General features: G+C 44.9%; 1 protein-coding gene and 1 pseudogene across 3 annotated transcripts in view, besides 1 other annotated feature; both read right to left on the bottom strand.

Moving 5' to 3' along the window:
* Window positions 1-4,334, bottom strand: part of ZYG11B (zyg-11 family member B, cell cycle regulator) — a 100,884-nt gene extending 96,550 nt beyond the window's left edge. For all 3 annotated transcript variants that reach the window (NR_199864.1, NM_001441954.1, NM_024646.3), the window contains exon 1: window positions 4,104-4,334. Coding sequence is in view for 1 of the 3 variants with exons in the window: in NM_024646.3 (NP_078922.1) it covers window positions 4,104-4,133 (30 nt within the window). In the remaining 2 variants the exon portion in view is untranslated. The remainder of the gene's footprint in view (window positions 1-4,103) is intronic.
* Window positions 3,944-4,523: a silencer, noted in NCBI's record as "silent region_898". NCBI's record gives its function as "represses an Ori minimal core promoter by ATAC-STARR-seq in GM12878 lymphoblastoid cells {active_cell/tissue: GM12878}" and the evidence as "EXISTENCE:reporter gene assay evidence [ECO:0000049][PMID:35858748]".
* Window positions 16,092-16,388, bottom strand: RN7SL62P (RNA, 7SL, cytoplasmic 62, pseudogene; annotated as a pseudogene).

The raw sequence follows: 16,699 nt of genomic DNA, 5'->3' as shown, positions 1-16,699 counted from the left end.
TGCAGCCTTGAACTGCTGGGCTCAAGTGAGCCTCCCACCTCAGGCTTTAGAGCAGATGGTACTACAGGCATGCACCACCATGCCCAGCTATCAACTTGTCCTTTTTCAGCACACTCAAGATATATTAAAACTCTTCACATTTAAAATTACTGTATGAAGGCTGGATGCAGTGGCTTGTGCCTGTAATCCCAGCACTTTGGGAGGCCAAAGCGGGAAGATCCCTGGAGGCCAGAAGTTTGGTACCAGCCTGGCCAACACAGGGAGATCTCTTCTCTACACAAAAACAAAAAATCAGCTGCACATAATAGAGCACACTTGAAGTCCTAGCTTTACTTGGGAGGCTGAGCTGGAAGGACTGCTTGAGCCTAGGGGTTTGAGGCTGCAATGAGCCGTAATCACGCCGCTGCACTCCAGTCTAGGCGGCAGAGCCAGACCCTATCTCAAAATAAATAAATAAATACATAATAAAATAAAATTACTCTATATACATGAGATGAAAAATGCCAGAGGTCACATCTATTTTACTATCTGTCATTTCCCCAGTGTCAACACAGTCAAAGACACTCCAAAAACATTATTAGATTAATTAAAAGTAAGGACTATGTCTTAGACCAGTAGTTCTCAAATTGTGGTTCACAGACCAGCAGCATCAGCATTATGTGGGTTTTGACAGAAATGCAAACTTTTGTAGTAGTTCACGTCTATAATTCCAGCACTCTGGGAGGCTGAGGCAGGAGGATCACTGGAGCCCAGGAGTTTGAGGCCAGCCTAGGCAACATGGCGAAACCCCATCTCTGCAAAACATATAAAAATTAGCCAGGTGTGATGATGGGCACCTGTGGTCCCAGCTACTTGGGAGGCTGAGGTGAGAGGATCGCTTGAGCCTGGGAAGTCAAGGCTGCAGTGAGCTGTGATCATGCCACTGCACTTCAGCTTAGGGACAGAGCAAGACCCTGCCTCAAAAAAAAAAGAACTGCCACCTCTCAGGCCCTGCCCTCAGTTCACTGCAACCTCCACCTCCTGGGTTCAAGTGATTCTCCTACCTCAGCCTCCCGAGTAGCTGGGATTACAGGCATGTGCCACCACACCCAGCTAATTTTTGTATTTTTAGTAGAGACGAGGCTTTGCCATGTTGGCCAGGCTGGTCTCGAACTCCTGACATCTTAAACATCTCAACTATTCAAACACAACCTAATTAACATTTAACAAATATAAAATACAAAGCTTTATAATAATCATTCATTCAACTGTATTTATTATCTACAAAAATATTGCACGAGAAAGTGGCCTCTACTGATAATTCCTAGCTCAAAATAAGCTAATATTCTGCCTTCTCCTCACCTCTCCCATACATACACTGTTACTCTGTGTGTATATGTTTTAACAAGCAAGGAAAAATCAAGTTAATTAGATGCAAAGTTTAAAACATAATCATGCCTAATATGTCTGCTGTGGTCTGAATTCTGTCTCCCTAAATTCATATGTTGGAATCCTAACCCCCAAGGTAATGGTATGAGGAGGTGGGGCCTTTGGGAGGTGATTAGATCACCAGTTAGTGCCCACATGAATGGGATTAGTGCCCTTATAAAAGAGACTCCAGAGAGCTGCCTGGCCCCTGCCACCATGTGTGAAAACAGTGAAAAGGTGACTTAGGAAGAGCCCTCACGAGACACTGAATCCACTGGGGAACTGATTTTGGACTTCCCAGCCTTCCAAACTCTGAGAAATAAATTTCTGTTGCTGACAAGCTACCTAGTTTATGGTATTTTGTTACAGTAGATTGAATGGGCTAAGACAGTATCTTGCTAGCCTCATTTCCTACTACACATCTCCATTCTTGCATCCTTCCATGCTATATAAGGGTAATACTACTTCCTACAATGCATCCTAATTCCTTCCTACTTTCTTTCTTAAAAAAAAAAAAATCCCTGTGAGGGGATCCTTTCTACTTGCTACTCACATTCACAATGAGGCATTCTTCCCCTTCCCAAAATGATCTATATAAATCCTATTCAACTTTCAGGCCCAGCTCAAAGGACACTTTTAGATCCTAAATACCTCAAAGGGGAGTTCATAACTCCTCCCTCTCATACATTCATTCTCAATGGAAGGGCCCACACTTTCAAAAATCTAGCAGTGTAATGTCTTAGGTAGGATAGCTCTTTATTCTGAAAAGTATATCATCATACCTCACTCAATATCATTTTTGCATCAAAATTAAGATTCTCTGCCCAGGCGTGATGGCTCATGCCTGTAATTCTAGCACTTTGGGAGGCCAAGGTGGGAGGATGGCTTGAATCCAGGAGGTCAAGACCAGACTGGGCAACACAGCAAGACTCCATTTCTACAAAAAGTTTTACAAATTAGCGGGGCACGGTAGTCCGTGCCTGTGGTACCAGCTACTTGTGAGGCTGAGGTGGGAAGATCACTTGACCTCAGGAGTTCAAGGTTGCAAAGAGCCATGATTGTGCCACTGCATTCCAGCCTGGGCCACAGAGCAAGATCGTCTCCAAACAACAATTCTCAAACTCACTCTTTCTGTGTAGTCCACTAGTTACCTCAAATTTCAGTTTAAGTTTATATTAGTCAGGTGGGAAATGAGACCATAAAGTGAATCATTCAAGCACCTAGCTGGCCTGGGCACTTGGAATAATAAGTAAGGAACGGTTGCTACCTAGAACTTACATTCCACAGGGAGAAACAGGTTAGCATACAACAACAGTGTGTGAAAGTGAAGGAGACAAACACAGGAAAATGACAGACTAAAAATGCAGGAGTGAGTTAGGGAAAATTCATAGATTAAATAATTTTATAGTATATTACTTTTCTAAAAAACTGCTGGAGGGAAAAAAAGAAACTGACTAACCTCCTAGGGGAACATAATTATCAGGACTTAGTTTTGCCTTATTCCTCCCAGAGACCAAAATTTAGCTTGTTGCATATGATGGAGCAATGTTTTCAATAAATGTACAGCAAACCACTTATAACCCAACTCAATGAAAAAACCAACTGAAGCCTCAACCTATTTTCAGACAGAAAGAAAATTTGCAAATATAAGGTTCTCCCAACTAAAGGCAGACAGGGCAAAACAAATGAACTCTTTAGAAGGTTTAAAGAGACTGTCACAACCTGCCAACCTGATTGTCAGTCCTCAAATGCCCTTGGTCTCTGCCTCCAAATGAAAACAAATCATTTGTTTTTAGTAATAATAGCCAAGCTTGTAAATAAGTATTTTTAAACTTCTCCAACTGCACCTCCACATTAAAAGATGCTCAAAATAAAAAAAATTCAAAACATTTTTTAGCTATTTCTGTCAAAAGACTAGATCTCTCCTGAGGTCACAGTATGCATGCTGGCCCTCACTTCACTGCTCTGTAACACACCACCACTTCGATTTTGCAATGACACTAGGTGAATAGGCTTCCAGGATCTCTTCAATGCCTCCAAAAACGAAAAGGAAGAAGCAAACCTATAAATCCCTATCTGCCCGCCCTACAGCTCCCGGGAAGCAACAGTCCTCAAATTGTTCCTGCTTAGACCCCTGAAGCCCGTAGAAGGAAATGGGGACAGCTGCGACGGCGAACCGAGCGAGGACATCCGATAAGGGAAGAGGAAACGTGGATGGAAGAGGACGAAGGGGAGAAGGAACACGGAGAGAAGGGGGCAGTGGAGATAAAATGGTGAAGAGGGGTGAGAAGAGCAAGGAAGAGCAGCGAAAACTAGGGAGGAAAGGGGGGAAAGTAAAAATCACATAAGAGGAAAAAAGGCAAAATGATAGAGGAGAAAGAAAGGAAGGGTTAGGGTTAAAGGACAAGGAGTGGGCGACAAAGGGAATGCGAAAAAGGCTGTCACTGGGGGTGATAAAAAGGATGTCATCGGGGAGAAGGGAGATTCAGGGGGTGTCACCTAAAGGGGTTCACCGAAGCAGGTGAATGGGGAAGGAGGAGCTGAACACCGAGGGGGCGGTAACGAGGGAGAGAGGTAAAGGCAGGGAGCCCGAGGGGACACCAGAGACAGGGAGGGGCAAGACCGCAGGGGCCAGCGCGACGGGCGGGGGCTAGGGTGGCGGGCGGCTGCGGCTAGGGCAGGCCTTGCTCCCTCACCATGGCTGCGCCGGCCTGGTCCTCGGGCATGCAGCCTCCGTCCTGGGTGCGGCGGCGGGCCGGACCGGAGCCCGCCCCCAGGCTGAGCCGGCGCGGAGGCTCCAGGAGGCTCCGGCGAGCGGCGGCTCCGGGCTTGGCCCAGGCCTCGGCCTCTTTCCCTCAAGCTAGGAGCGTAGCAGTAGCAGCCGCAGCCGCAGCCGCAGCCGCAGCCCGAACCAGAGCGCAGACTCCGCCCCCGCGAGGACCCGCCCGGGCGCGCGAGCCCGCGCCTGGACCCGCCTCCGCTCTCAATGCGCAGACTCAGACGAGGGGGTCCCGCCCCCCCCAGCCCGACCTCCAGCTTCTCCCCCTCCCAGGCCCTTAAAGGAGCCACACACCCCCAAATCCTAGCATCCCTTCAAAATATGAAAAGCTTTAAATATTACATCATGACGAGAGATTAGAGCATCGCTCACTTCGGTCACCTATAGACTCCTCTGTCATTCACCATCATTCTCTAAGATTTGGGCTTCTGGTTCACTGTCATTCATTACTACTATTGTCATAACTCTTGGTTATTTCAAAATTCGCTTAATTCTTCCAATCCTCTGGCCTCTCAGATTCTTCTCTAGGGATCATTCTTGGCTCAGCCTCTCACTCTCATGCTCATACGAATAATTGTAACTTCTCTACAATCTCAATTTTAATCCTCTAACTCCCATTGCAACCTTCTTCCTTTCTTTCTTTCTTTCTTTCTTTCTTTTTTTTTTTTTTTTTTGAGATGGAGTTTCGCTCTTGTTGCCCAGGCTGGAGTGCAGTGGTGCGATCTTGGCTCACTGCAACCTCCACCTCCCGGGTTCAAGTGATTCTCCTGCCTTAGCCTCCCGAGTAGCTGGGATTACAAACACCCGGCACCACACCCGGCTAATTTTTGTATTTTTAGTAGAGAAGTGGCTTCACCATGTTGGCCAGGCTGGTCTCGAACTCCTGACCTCAGGTGATCCGCTTGCCTTGGCCTTCCAAAGTGCTGGGATTACAGGCGTGAGCCGCTGCGCCCGGCCACAACCTTCTTCCTTTCTAGCTCACTCTGTCTGATAATACTCCAACTCCAAAAACTTCAACTCCAAGACCCCAAATCCATTGATCCAACTACCTTTTCGCTATTCCTCCCCACGCTGGCCTTATGTACTCACTTTCTTCCTGAAACAGCTTAGATTCTATCGTCCGTCATGAAATGGAATCTAATAGAATCTAAGCTGTTTGGGGAAGAAAGTGAGTACATGAGGTACATGAAGTCGATTTCTTCAGTATTACCTTCATTTCTCTAGTCGTTCTCTGCTTTCTTTGTACTGACAGAACTCCAGCAATGGAGTGGGTGGAGAAAAAGCCAAAAGTGGTTGACTGACTCCCCGTAAATTTGAGATCATTATTCTCAAGAGGCCATAATGAGTGGCTACCCTACCACATTTCTCCAGTTTCACACACTCTCCCACCTTGCTACATAACTATTTCAAGTCTCCTGTCTCTTCAAACCTCCGACACTTCCTCCCTCATCTCATTTAGCTGATGATTTTGCTTCTAATTCACAAGAAAATCAAACAAACCAAAAAGAACATCTACAAGTTCCCAGCACCCACCATGACTTCCAACGAACCTGTAACTCTGCTTTGATGCTCTCTCTGCCTTCCTTTCCTTACTACAAGTTAATTATTTGTCTTTTAGCTAACATCAAATCCTCCTCAGTTCTCAAGCATCTGTGCTAAAAGACCCAGATTTTATCCCCAATCACAAAACTAAATTTCTGTAAAATACAATCAAAATTAATTACTAGAAAAAATTAAAATTTAAAAACAAGCATCCAAAATGCAAGCCCAGATTTTTTAAACCTGCTTAACCATTTTAAAGTGTACAGTTCAATGGTATTAAATACATTCACATTGTTGTGCAACCATCCCCATCAAGAAGCTCCAGAACTTTTTATTTTTTCTTTTATTTATTTATTTATTTATTTATTGAGACAAGTTCTTACCCTGTCACCCATCAGGAGTACAGTGGCACAATCACGGCTCACTCAGCCTCAAACTCCTGGGCTGAAGCGATCCTCCCACCTCAGCCTCCTAAGCAGCTAGAACTACAGGCACATACCACCACGCCTGGCTACCTTTTTTTTTTTTTTTTTTTGTAGAGACAAGGTCTCACTGTGTTGCCCAGGTTTGTCTCAAACTCCTAGGCTCAAGTAATCCTCCTGCCACAGACTTCTAAAGTGCTAGGATTACAGACGTGAGCCAATGTGCCAGGCCTCCAGAACTTTTTTATCTTGCAAAGCTGAAAGCTTGTACTCATTAAACAATAACTCCCCATTCCTAACTTCCCCCAATCCCTCGCCATCACTGTTCTGCTTTCTATCTCTATGAATTTGACTACTCTAGGCAGAATTTTTATTATTAAACCCAACACGCGTAACATTTTTCTGTCAAATTGTTATAAAAGTTTCAAAATATTAATTCTGAATTGCTGTCACAAACTGGTGAAAAACCATTTCTAGATGGTCACTAGTCCATTGATGACACTTTGAGGAGCTCAAGTACTAGGTCTCATACCACGTCACTTTCTCAAAGACACCTATCCAGCAATTCTTCCTCTCACCTACATCGCTATTTTTCTGCTATTACCTCTCATTGCTATAGCAACATGATTTTATTTCTTCCATCTTAAAACAATCAAACAAAAAAACCCTCCTTAGGTTGCAGTGAGCCAAGATCACGCCACTGCACTCTAGCCTGGGCAACAGAGCGAGACTCCACCTCAAAAAAAAAAAAAAAACCCTCTCTTGACTGGACTTGACCCCCCACCTACTGCCCCATTTCTCCATTCTCTTTTCTGCAAAATGTCTCACAAAGGTGGCTTGTACATGGTCTCACTCTGTTGCTTAGGCTGGAGTGCAGTGGTGCGATCTCAGCTCACTGCAACCTTAGCCTCCTGGGTTCAAGCAATCCTCCCACTTCAGCCTCCCAAGTAGCTGGAACTACAGGCATGTGCCACCACGTCCAACTAATTTTTGTATTTTTTGTGGAGATGAGGTTTCATCATGTTGCCTAGGCTGGTCTTGAACTCCTGAGCTCAAGCAATCTGCCTGCCTTGGCCTCCCAAAATGCTGAGATTACAGGCATGAGCCACCTCGCCTGGCCTTGACTTCCTTTTTCTCATTTTCGGTGAGATCCTCTCTGGTTAAGCTTTTACCTCCTCCACTCCACTGAAATGCCCTTGTCAAGGTCACTAGTGGTGTCCATTTGCTGACACCAGTCAATTCTCAGTCCTCGTGTTACTTGACCTACCAACATCACTAGACACAGCTCATTACTTCCCCCTCCTTGGCTACCATGACATTTCACCCCCTCGGGTCTTCTATCTCACTGGCTGCTCCTAGTTTCTCCTCATTTCTCTGACCTCTAAATACTGTAGTACCCCAAGGCTCAATATTTCGACTTTTTGTCTTTTGCATGTACACTCCTTGATAATCTTATCCCAACACATTACTTTAAATATTATCTATGCTGTGATAACCCCAAAATTATATCTGCATTCTGAATTTCATACTTAAATATCTAACTGCCAGCTAAACATATCCCCTTATATGTCTAGTAAGCTACAATTTTTCTTAGTAGTTACTCAATAGACTTCCCCTCAAGTACCATGGATAAGCCAATAAATACCAAAGAGAATAGGACCAACAATAGTAGCTTAGACCAATCATGATTTACTCTCCGTCTGATCTGTGAGTTACTTTCCCTAAGGACTTCCTTGTAGTGGAGGAAAATCGTCATTAAAAATTAGAGTTCTGGGCTGGGTGTGGTGGCTCAGGCCTGTAATCCCAGCATTTTAGGAGGCTGAGGTGGGTGGATCATGAGGTTAGGAGATCAAGACCAGCCCGGCCAACATGGTGAAACTCCATCTCTACTAAAAATACAAAAGAAATTAGCTGGGTGTAGCGGTGCGCACCTGTAGTCCCAGCTACTCAGGAAGCTGAGGCAGGAGACTCGCTTGAACCCGGCAGGCGGAAGTTGCAGTGAGCCAAGATCACTCCATTGCACTCCAGCCTGGGCGACAGAGAGGGACTCCTTCTCAAAAAAAAAAAAAAAAAAAAAGAAAGAAAAAAAAATTAGAGTTCTAGCCAGCCAAGGTGGTTCACACTTGTAATCCCAGCACTTTGGGAGGCCAAGGCAGGCAGATGGTTTGAGACCAAAAGTTTGAGACCAGCCTGGGCAAAATGGCAAAATCCCATCTCTACAAAAAAATACCAAAAAGTAGCTGGGCATGGTGGTAGTTTCAGCTACTCAAGAGACTGAGGTGGGAGGATCACCTGAGCCCTGGAGGTCGAGGCTGCTATGAGGCATCATCACGCCACTGCACTCCAGCCTGTGTGACAGAGTAAGACCCTATCTCCAAAAATAAATAAATAAATAAGAGTTCTGCAATCAAGAAAGAATGGAGTCACAGTTGATTTGCTTGATTTGCAATCAATGAAGCACAAACAGATCAAAAATACATCCAAATTACCTAGGAATTTAGTATAATACTGAAGGTAGCATTTCAAGTCAGAAAGCAAAAGTTGGAATTGTATTTGGTGTTAGAATAACTGGATAGACATCTAGAAAATTTTAACTTGGATTTATACTTCACACTATTCACCAAGACAAATTTCAAATATATCAAATATTAAAATGTAAAAAAGAAGAACGAGCATGGTGGCTCACGCCTGTAATTCCAGCACTTTGGGAGGCCCAGGCAGGCAGATCACTTGAAGTCGAGTTCAAGACCACCCTGGCCAAGATGGTGAAACCCCATCTCTACTAAAAATACAAAATTAGGCCGGGCACAGTGGCTTCCAGCACTTTGAGAGGTCAAGGCAGGTGGATCACAAGGTCAGGAGTTCAAGACCAGCCTGACCTAGATGGTGAAACTCCGTCTCTATTAAAACTACAAAAATTACAGGCAACGGCTGTAATCCCAGCTACTCCGGTGGCTGAGACAAGAGAATCGCTTGAACCTGGGTGGCAGAGATTGCAGTGAGCCAAGATCGAGCCACTGCACTCCAGCCTGGATGACCGAGTGAGACTCCGTCTCAAAAAAAAAAAAAAAAAAAAAGCCGGGCACAGTGGCTCCCGCTTGTAATCCCAGCACTTTGGGAGGCCGAGGTGGGCAGATCATGAGGTCAGGAGATCGAGACCATCCTGGCTAACACGGTGAAACCCCGTCTCTACTAAAAATACAAAAAATTAGCCGGGCGCAGTGGCGGACGCCTGCAGTCCCAGCTACTCGGGAGGCTGAGGCAGGAGAATGGCGTGAACCCGGCAGGCGGAGCTTGCAGTGAGCCGAGATCGCGCCACTGCACTTCAGCCTGGGCAACAGAGCGAGACTCTGTCTCAAAAAAAAAAAAAAAAAAAAAAAAAGTAAAAAAGAAAGAAGCGCCGGGCGCGGTGGCTCACGCCTGTAATCCCAGCACTTTGGGAGGCCGAGGCGGGTGGATCACGAGGTCAGGAGATCGAGACCATCCTGGCTAACAAGGTGAAACCCCGTCTCTACTAAAAATACAAAAAATTAGCCGGGCGCGGTGGCGGGCGCCTGTAGTCCCAGCTACTCGGGAGGCTGAGGCAGGAGAATGGCGTGAACCCGGGAAGCAGAGCTTGCAGTGAGCCGAGATTGCGCCACTGCAGTCCGCAGTCCGGCCTGGGCGACAGAGCGAGACTCCGTCACAAAAAAAAAAAAAAAAAAAAAGAAAAAAAAAAAGAAAGAAGGAAACCATAACATACTGGAAGAAAGAATCATGGGAGAATTTTTTAGAATCTTAAAGTAAGGAAGGTCTTCTTAAGTACAAAACAAGAGCTGGGCACGGTGGCTCATGCCTGTAATCCCAGCACTTTGGGAGGCTGAGGTGGGCACATCATGAGGTCAGGAGTTCGAGACCACCCTGGCCAACATGGCAAAACCCCGTCTCTACTAAAAATACAAAAATTAGCCGGGCATGGTGGTAATCCCAGCTACTCCAGAGGCTGAGGCAGGAGAATCCCTTGAAACCGGGAGGCGGAGGTTGCAGTGAGCCAAGATTGCGCCGCTGTACTCCAGCCTGGGCAAAAGAGGGAAACTCCGTCTCAATAAATAAATAAATAAGTACAAAACAAAACCAAGATGCCATAACAGAAAAGATTGATAAATTCAGCTATGTAGAAATAAAAAATGTAAGGCAAAAGTCACCATAAGTAGAGTCAGATAACAAATGACTATATGTATATATGTATGCATTTCATATAGGAAAATGAATAATGTTTATATTTGTATTCAGAGCTGAAATCAATAAGAACAAAACCCAAGGGGAAAAATGCACAAAAGATGTGAACTGATAGTTCACAGAAAAAGAAATAGAAATGGCTCTTCAATGCTCACTCTTACTTATAATAATAAGATAAAGGCAAATTAGAATTTCTTTGAAATTACCATTTCTCATCTGTCAGATTGGCAAAGATCTATGATTGATAAGATACTGTGTGGAAAGGAGGGGTGATGTTGAACAGGTATGCTCATATTTTGTTGTTGGGAGTGTAATTGGGATAACTTCTATGGAGGATAATTTAACGGTGGCATTTATAACTTGTCTGAATGCATGTTCCCTTTGACCCAGCAATTTCCCTTTTTTTATTTCAGCAATTTCACTTTTAAAAGTTTAATTTATACACATGCTCAAGCCTTACTTGTAATAGCAAAAGATTGAAAACAACTTAATGTTTTATTTTTATTTTATTTATTTATAGAGACAGGGTCTCACTCTATTGCCCAGGTTGGAGTACAGTGGCCCAATCATCATTCGCTGCATCCTTGAACTCTGGAGCTCAAGCCATCCTCACACCTCAGCTTCCCAAGTAGCTGATACTATAGGCATGGCAGAAAAAATGAAAAAAAAAATTAACTTTTTGTACAGACGGGGTCTGGTTGATGTTGTCTAGGCTGGTCTCAAACTCCTGGCTTCAAGCAATCCATCTGTCTCAGCTTTCCAAAGCACTGGGATTATGGGCGTGAGCCACTGTACCTGGCTTAAATGTTTATTAATACAGACCTGGTTAAATAACAGTGTAGTTATACAATGCATAATCTACAGCCTTAAAAAGGAATGAGAAAGCTTTTTGTCTACTAATAGGGAAATAGCTTCAAAATCTACTGTTAAGTGAAAAAGCAATGCCCTAAATAGAATGTATTGCATGCTAATATTCCTGTAAGAACTGATGATAGTAATATCCGTTCCTAATTGCTTATATATGCATAAAATATCCCCAGAAGAATTTAACAGAAACTTAAATCATTTCTGCAATGAAGAAAACTGGATGGCCAGAGACAGGTAGGAGGAAGATTTTCATAGTGTATAATCTTTTGTATCTTTTTATTTATTTTTTATTTATTTTTACTTTTTTGAGACAGTCTTGTTCTGTCGCCCAGGTTGGAGTGCAGTGGCCCAATCTCTACTCACTGCAACCTCTACCTCACAGGTTCAAGTGATTCTCCTGCCACAGCCTCCCAAGTAGCTGAGACTACAGGTGCCGACCACCACACCTGGCTAATTTTTGTTTTTGTTTTTGTTTTTTGAGGCAGAGTCTCACTTTGTCACCCAGGCTGGAGCACAGTGGCACAATCTCGGCTCACTGCAACCTCTGCTTCCTGGGTTCAGGCAATTCTCCTGCCTCAGCCTCCTGAGTAGCTGGGATTATAGGCGCGTGACACCACGCCTGCCTAATTTTTGTATTTTTAGCAGAGACAGGGTTTCACCATGTTAGCCAGGCTGGTCACAAACTCCTGACCTCAAGTGATCCACCTGCCTCAGCCTCCCAAAGGGCTGGGATTACAGGTGTGAACCACCACACCCGACCTGATTTTTTTTAATCATGAAAATATATAACCTATTTTTAAAGTAAATCAATAATTTTAAAAGTAGTAATTTAGAGTCACTTATTCTACAAGTAAAAATAATTTTTACAATGAGAAATGGCTTTATTGATGTTCTAATTTTTTTTTTTAAGACAAGGTTTGTTCTGTCACCCTGGTTGGAGTGCAGTGGCACAGTCATGGCTCACTGCAGCCTCAACCTCTTGGGCTCAAGCAATCCTCCTGTCTCAGTCTCCCGAGTACCTCAGACTACAGGCACAAACCACCATGCTTGGCTAATGTAAAACAAAGTTGTTGCCGGGCACAGTGGCTCAAGGCTGTATCCCAGCACTTTGGGAGGCCAAGGAGCCAGGCAGATCACTTGAGGTCAGGAGTTTGAGACCAGCCTGGCCAACATGGCCAACATCTCTACTAAACCCCATCTCTACTAAAAAATACAAAAACTAGCCAGCTGTGGTGGTGGGTGCCTGTAATCCTAGCTACTTAGGAGGCTGAGGCAGGAGAATCACTTGAACCCGGGTGGCGGAGGTTGCAGTGAGCCGAGATCGCACCACTGCACTCCAGCCTGGGCGACAGAGCAAAACTCCTTCTTAAAAAAAAAATTTTTTTTAATGTTCTAATTTTAAAAGGGTCTGTACAGTTGTTGTTTTTTTTTTTAGTTTTTGTTGAGTTAATTAGAATCAGGGAGCCAAGATCGTGCCCCTGCACTCCAGCCTGGGTGACAGAGTGAGACCCTGTCTCAAAAAACAAACAACAACAACAAAGACTAAGGAGCACTGTACCAGGAGTCAGGATTGAATTCTAGTCCCTGGCTCTGATACTGGGGAGGTGTGATTTGATGACCTTTAGGCATTTGGCACCCTGAGATGCTGAGGCCTTGGACAAATCTTTCCTCTCCCTTTGGGGATAGGGGCTTGGTTTGATCATCTGTAAAATGTCCTGAGGGAGTAAGTGGTCAGGAGGGGTGAACTTCAAGCTCTCCACCAGTTCTAACATTCTGGCTCTGTGCTTAATCTCTGTCACCCGGGCTGGAGAGCAGTGGCATGACCTCAGCTCACTGCAACCTCCACTTCCTGGGTTCAAGCCATTCTTCCACCTCAGCTTCCTGAGTATCTGGGACTACAGGCATGCACCACCATGCCCAGCTAATTTTTGTCTTTTTAGTAGAGACGGGGTTTTGCCATGTTGGCCAGGCTGGTCTCGAACTCCTGGACTCAAAGGATCTGCCTGTCTCCGGCTCCCAAAGTGTTGAGATTACAGGCGTGAGCCATTGCACCTGGCCCCTAGAGTCTTGATTTATTTAGGCACCTATGACTCCAGGGTAGACAGGAAGTATCTAATATTTAACAAGGGCCATAAGAATTCTGAGATATTACGAGTATACGTGGAAAGTCCTCTTGACATGATGGCTCCAAAACCTCATAGGGGAGCTGGTAAGAACTCCTGACTATGGAATTAGAAATTATTATTATTATTTTATTTAGAGATGGAATCTTGCTCTGTCGCCCAGGCTGGAGTACAGTGGTGCGATCTTGGCTCACTGCAACCTCTACCTCCTGGATTCAAATGATTCTCCTTCCTTGGCCTCCCGAGTAGCTGGGATTATAAGTGTGCACCACCACACCCGGCTACTTTTTTTGTATTTTCAGTAGAGATGGAGTTTCACCATGTTGGCCAGGCTGGTCTCAAACTCCTGACTTCAAGTGATCTGCCCACCTCAGCCTCCCAAAGTACTGAGATTACAGGCATGAGCCACCACTCCCGGCTAATTTCTGTTTTTTTAGTAGAGATGGGGTTTTACCCTGTTGGCCAGGTTGGTCTTCAACTCCTGGCCTCAAGGGATCCACCCGCCTCAGCCTCCTAAAGTGCTGGGATTACAGGCATGAGCCACCATGCCAGCCTGGAATCAGAACTTATATACCCAGAGAAGAAAAAGGTAGATTAAAAAGCAATTAAGTATCTTTTCAACCTATCTTGATTGAAAGGAACAACAAAATGAACGTTTGGTACAGAAAGAAAACAAACTCCTTGGACCTATATGTGTATGTATATATGTACAGTGATGTAAACCAGGCCTTCTTTTTTTTTTTTTTTTGAGATGAAGTCTCACTCTGTCACCCAGGCTGGAGTGGTGCAGTGGTGTGATCTCAGCTCACTGCAACGTCCACCTCCTGGGTTCAAGTGATTCTCCTGCCTCAGCCTCACGAGTAGCTGAGACTACAGGCGCCTGCCACCACTCCCAGCTAAGTTTTGTATTTTTAGTAGAGACAGGGTGTCACCATATTGGCCATGCTGGTCTCGAACTCCTGACCTGGTGATCCACCTGCCTTGGACTCCCAAAGTGCTGGGATTACAGGCGTGAGCCACTGCGCCCAGCCAAACCAGGCCTGCTTATGTGACTGATTAGGCTGACGCTAAGGTCTTCAGCAAGATTACATTTTACCACGCTCTATCTTTTCTATAAATTACAAGTCCTTCTTGTATTTTCTTTACCTTTTTTTTTTTTTTTGAGATAGGGTCTCATTCTGTCTCTCAGGCTGGAGTGCAATGGCATGATGACAACCCTCACTGCAGCCTCCACTTTCCAGACCCAAATGATCATCACACCTCAGCCTCCCAAGTAGCTGGTACTACAGGCGTGTGCTAACATGACCAGCTAATTTTTTTTACTTTTTGTACAGACAGGGTCTCCCTATGTTGCCCAGGCTGGCCTTGAACTCCTGGGCTCAAGTGATTCTCCTGCCTTGGCCTCCCAAAGTGTTGGGATTACAGGCGTGAGCCACCGTGCCCAGCAATTTACTGACTTTTAATGTAAATAAGGAAGGTTAACCTCTATAGCTTGTGAACTACATTTCAGAAAATTACATAAATGTGCAAAACATATTTATTGTCAGAAAGAACATTCGTTTGAGAAATGTGCCTTCTATTATTCGTTTATAAATGACCTCTCTAGTATTAGCTTTACCTTTTTTTTTTTTTTTTGAGAGAGAGTCTCCCTCTGTACCCTAGGCTGGAGTGCAGTGGCATGATCTCAGCTCACCTCAACCTCTGCCTCCCAGGTTCAAGCAATTCTACTGCCTCAGCCTCCGGAGTAGCTGGGACTACAGGCACATGCCACCATGTCTGGCTAATTTTTGTATTTTTAGTAGAGACGGGGCTTCACCATGTTGGCCAGGCTGGTCTTGAACTCCTGACCTTAAGTGATCCACCTGCTTCAGCCTCCCACAGTGTTGGGATTACAGGCATGAGCCACCGCACCTGGCTTTTTTTCCTTTCCTCACCCCGCAACACATAGTGAAATCTCTGGAGGTGGAAAGCAGTTTGGCAGTTCAGTCTGCTTTTTCTCCCTGAAGTTGCTGGTTTTAGAATAAAGCTGGCTCCAGCTATTTCTGATTCAAACATCAAGGTGAAGAGTATTCCATAGAATATGAAATTAAAGCCCTTGGCTGGGCGCAGTTGTTCACGCCTGTAATCCTAGCACTTTGGGAGGCCGAGGCGGGCGGATTGCTCAGGAGTTCGCGACCAGCCTGGACAACACAGTGAAACCCTGTCTCTACTAAAATACAAAAAAAAAAAAAAAAAAAATAGCATCCGTAAAAAAAAAAAAAAAAAAGGAAATTAAAGCCCTTGGACACAGAGTTTAAAACCAAGGAGGAGAGCTGAAGGTTGCCCAAACTTCTGCTGTGGTTAGGGAGAAATATGTGGCCAAGGTGGGCAAAGAACTGGCTACCGGGTGAAACATCCAAGTGTTAGGGTCATATTTTAAATCAACCATTTAAGGTTGCTATCTCTCCCTCTTCATTGCTGTCATCAACTGAATACATTCATAGAAGACCTTGACGCCTGACTCAATCTGCACTCTACTCCAATAATTGCTAAAGTGTGGGCCCGACCCTTGTTCCCAGGTGAGGCTTGTTAGAAATGCAAATTACTGGGCCACCAAGACCAACTGAATCAGAAATTCTGGGTGTAAGGCCCAGTAAACTGTGTGTGTGTGTGTGTGTGTGTGTGTGTGTGTGTGTGTGTGTGTGTGGTGTGTCTGTGTGTGGTGTGTGTGTGTATGTGTGAGGGATGTGTGTGTGTGATGGGGTCTTGCTATGTAACCTAGGCTGGAGTGCAGAGACTATTCACAGGCGTGATCTCACTGCTGTCCAGCCCAGGAGTTTTGGCCTCTTTTATTTCCAACCTGGCAGTTCACCTTTCCTTAGGCAACCTGGTGGTCCTCTGCTCCTGGGAGATCACCACATTGATGCTGAATTTAGTGCAGACACCTGATTGGCATAGCACACTAGAGCCCAGGATTCCTGTGCTCAAACGATTCTCCTGCCTCTGCCTCCCAAGTAACTGGGACTACAGGTGCATGCCACTGCATCCGGCTAAACTATATTTTAATATGCCTTCCAAGTGATTCTGACTCACACTAAAGTTTGAGAGCAACTGGGCTATTACAATCCTACAACAGCTTGGGTGACTTGAACATCCACCTCAATGACCCATCCAGCTATCCGGCCTTTCTGCTCCTTGACATCCTCGAATCTAATGAGTCTCCCTTTCACTTCAGCCACCCACTCCCATGGCTGCGCCCTAAACCTTGTCAAACTAAAAATTATTTCATGTCTAAAGTCTGAAAACATTCTACATAGTCATCACAATCTTTATCTTTGGACCCTCTCTCTGCCTCTCTCTCT

The sequence above is a fragment of the Homo sapiens genome, chromosome 1 (assembly GCF_000001405.40).
Source record: "Homo sapiens chromosome 1, GRCh38.p14 Primary Assembly".
Classification (NCBI taxonomy): domain Eukaryota; kingdom Metazoa; phylum Chordata; class Mammalia; order Primates; family Hominidae; genus Homo; species Homo sapiens.
The sequence above is the reverse complement of the archived record's forward strand: the minus strand, read 5'-3'. Positions and strand labels throughout refer to the sequence as shown.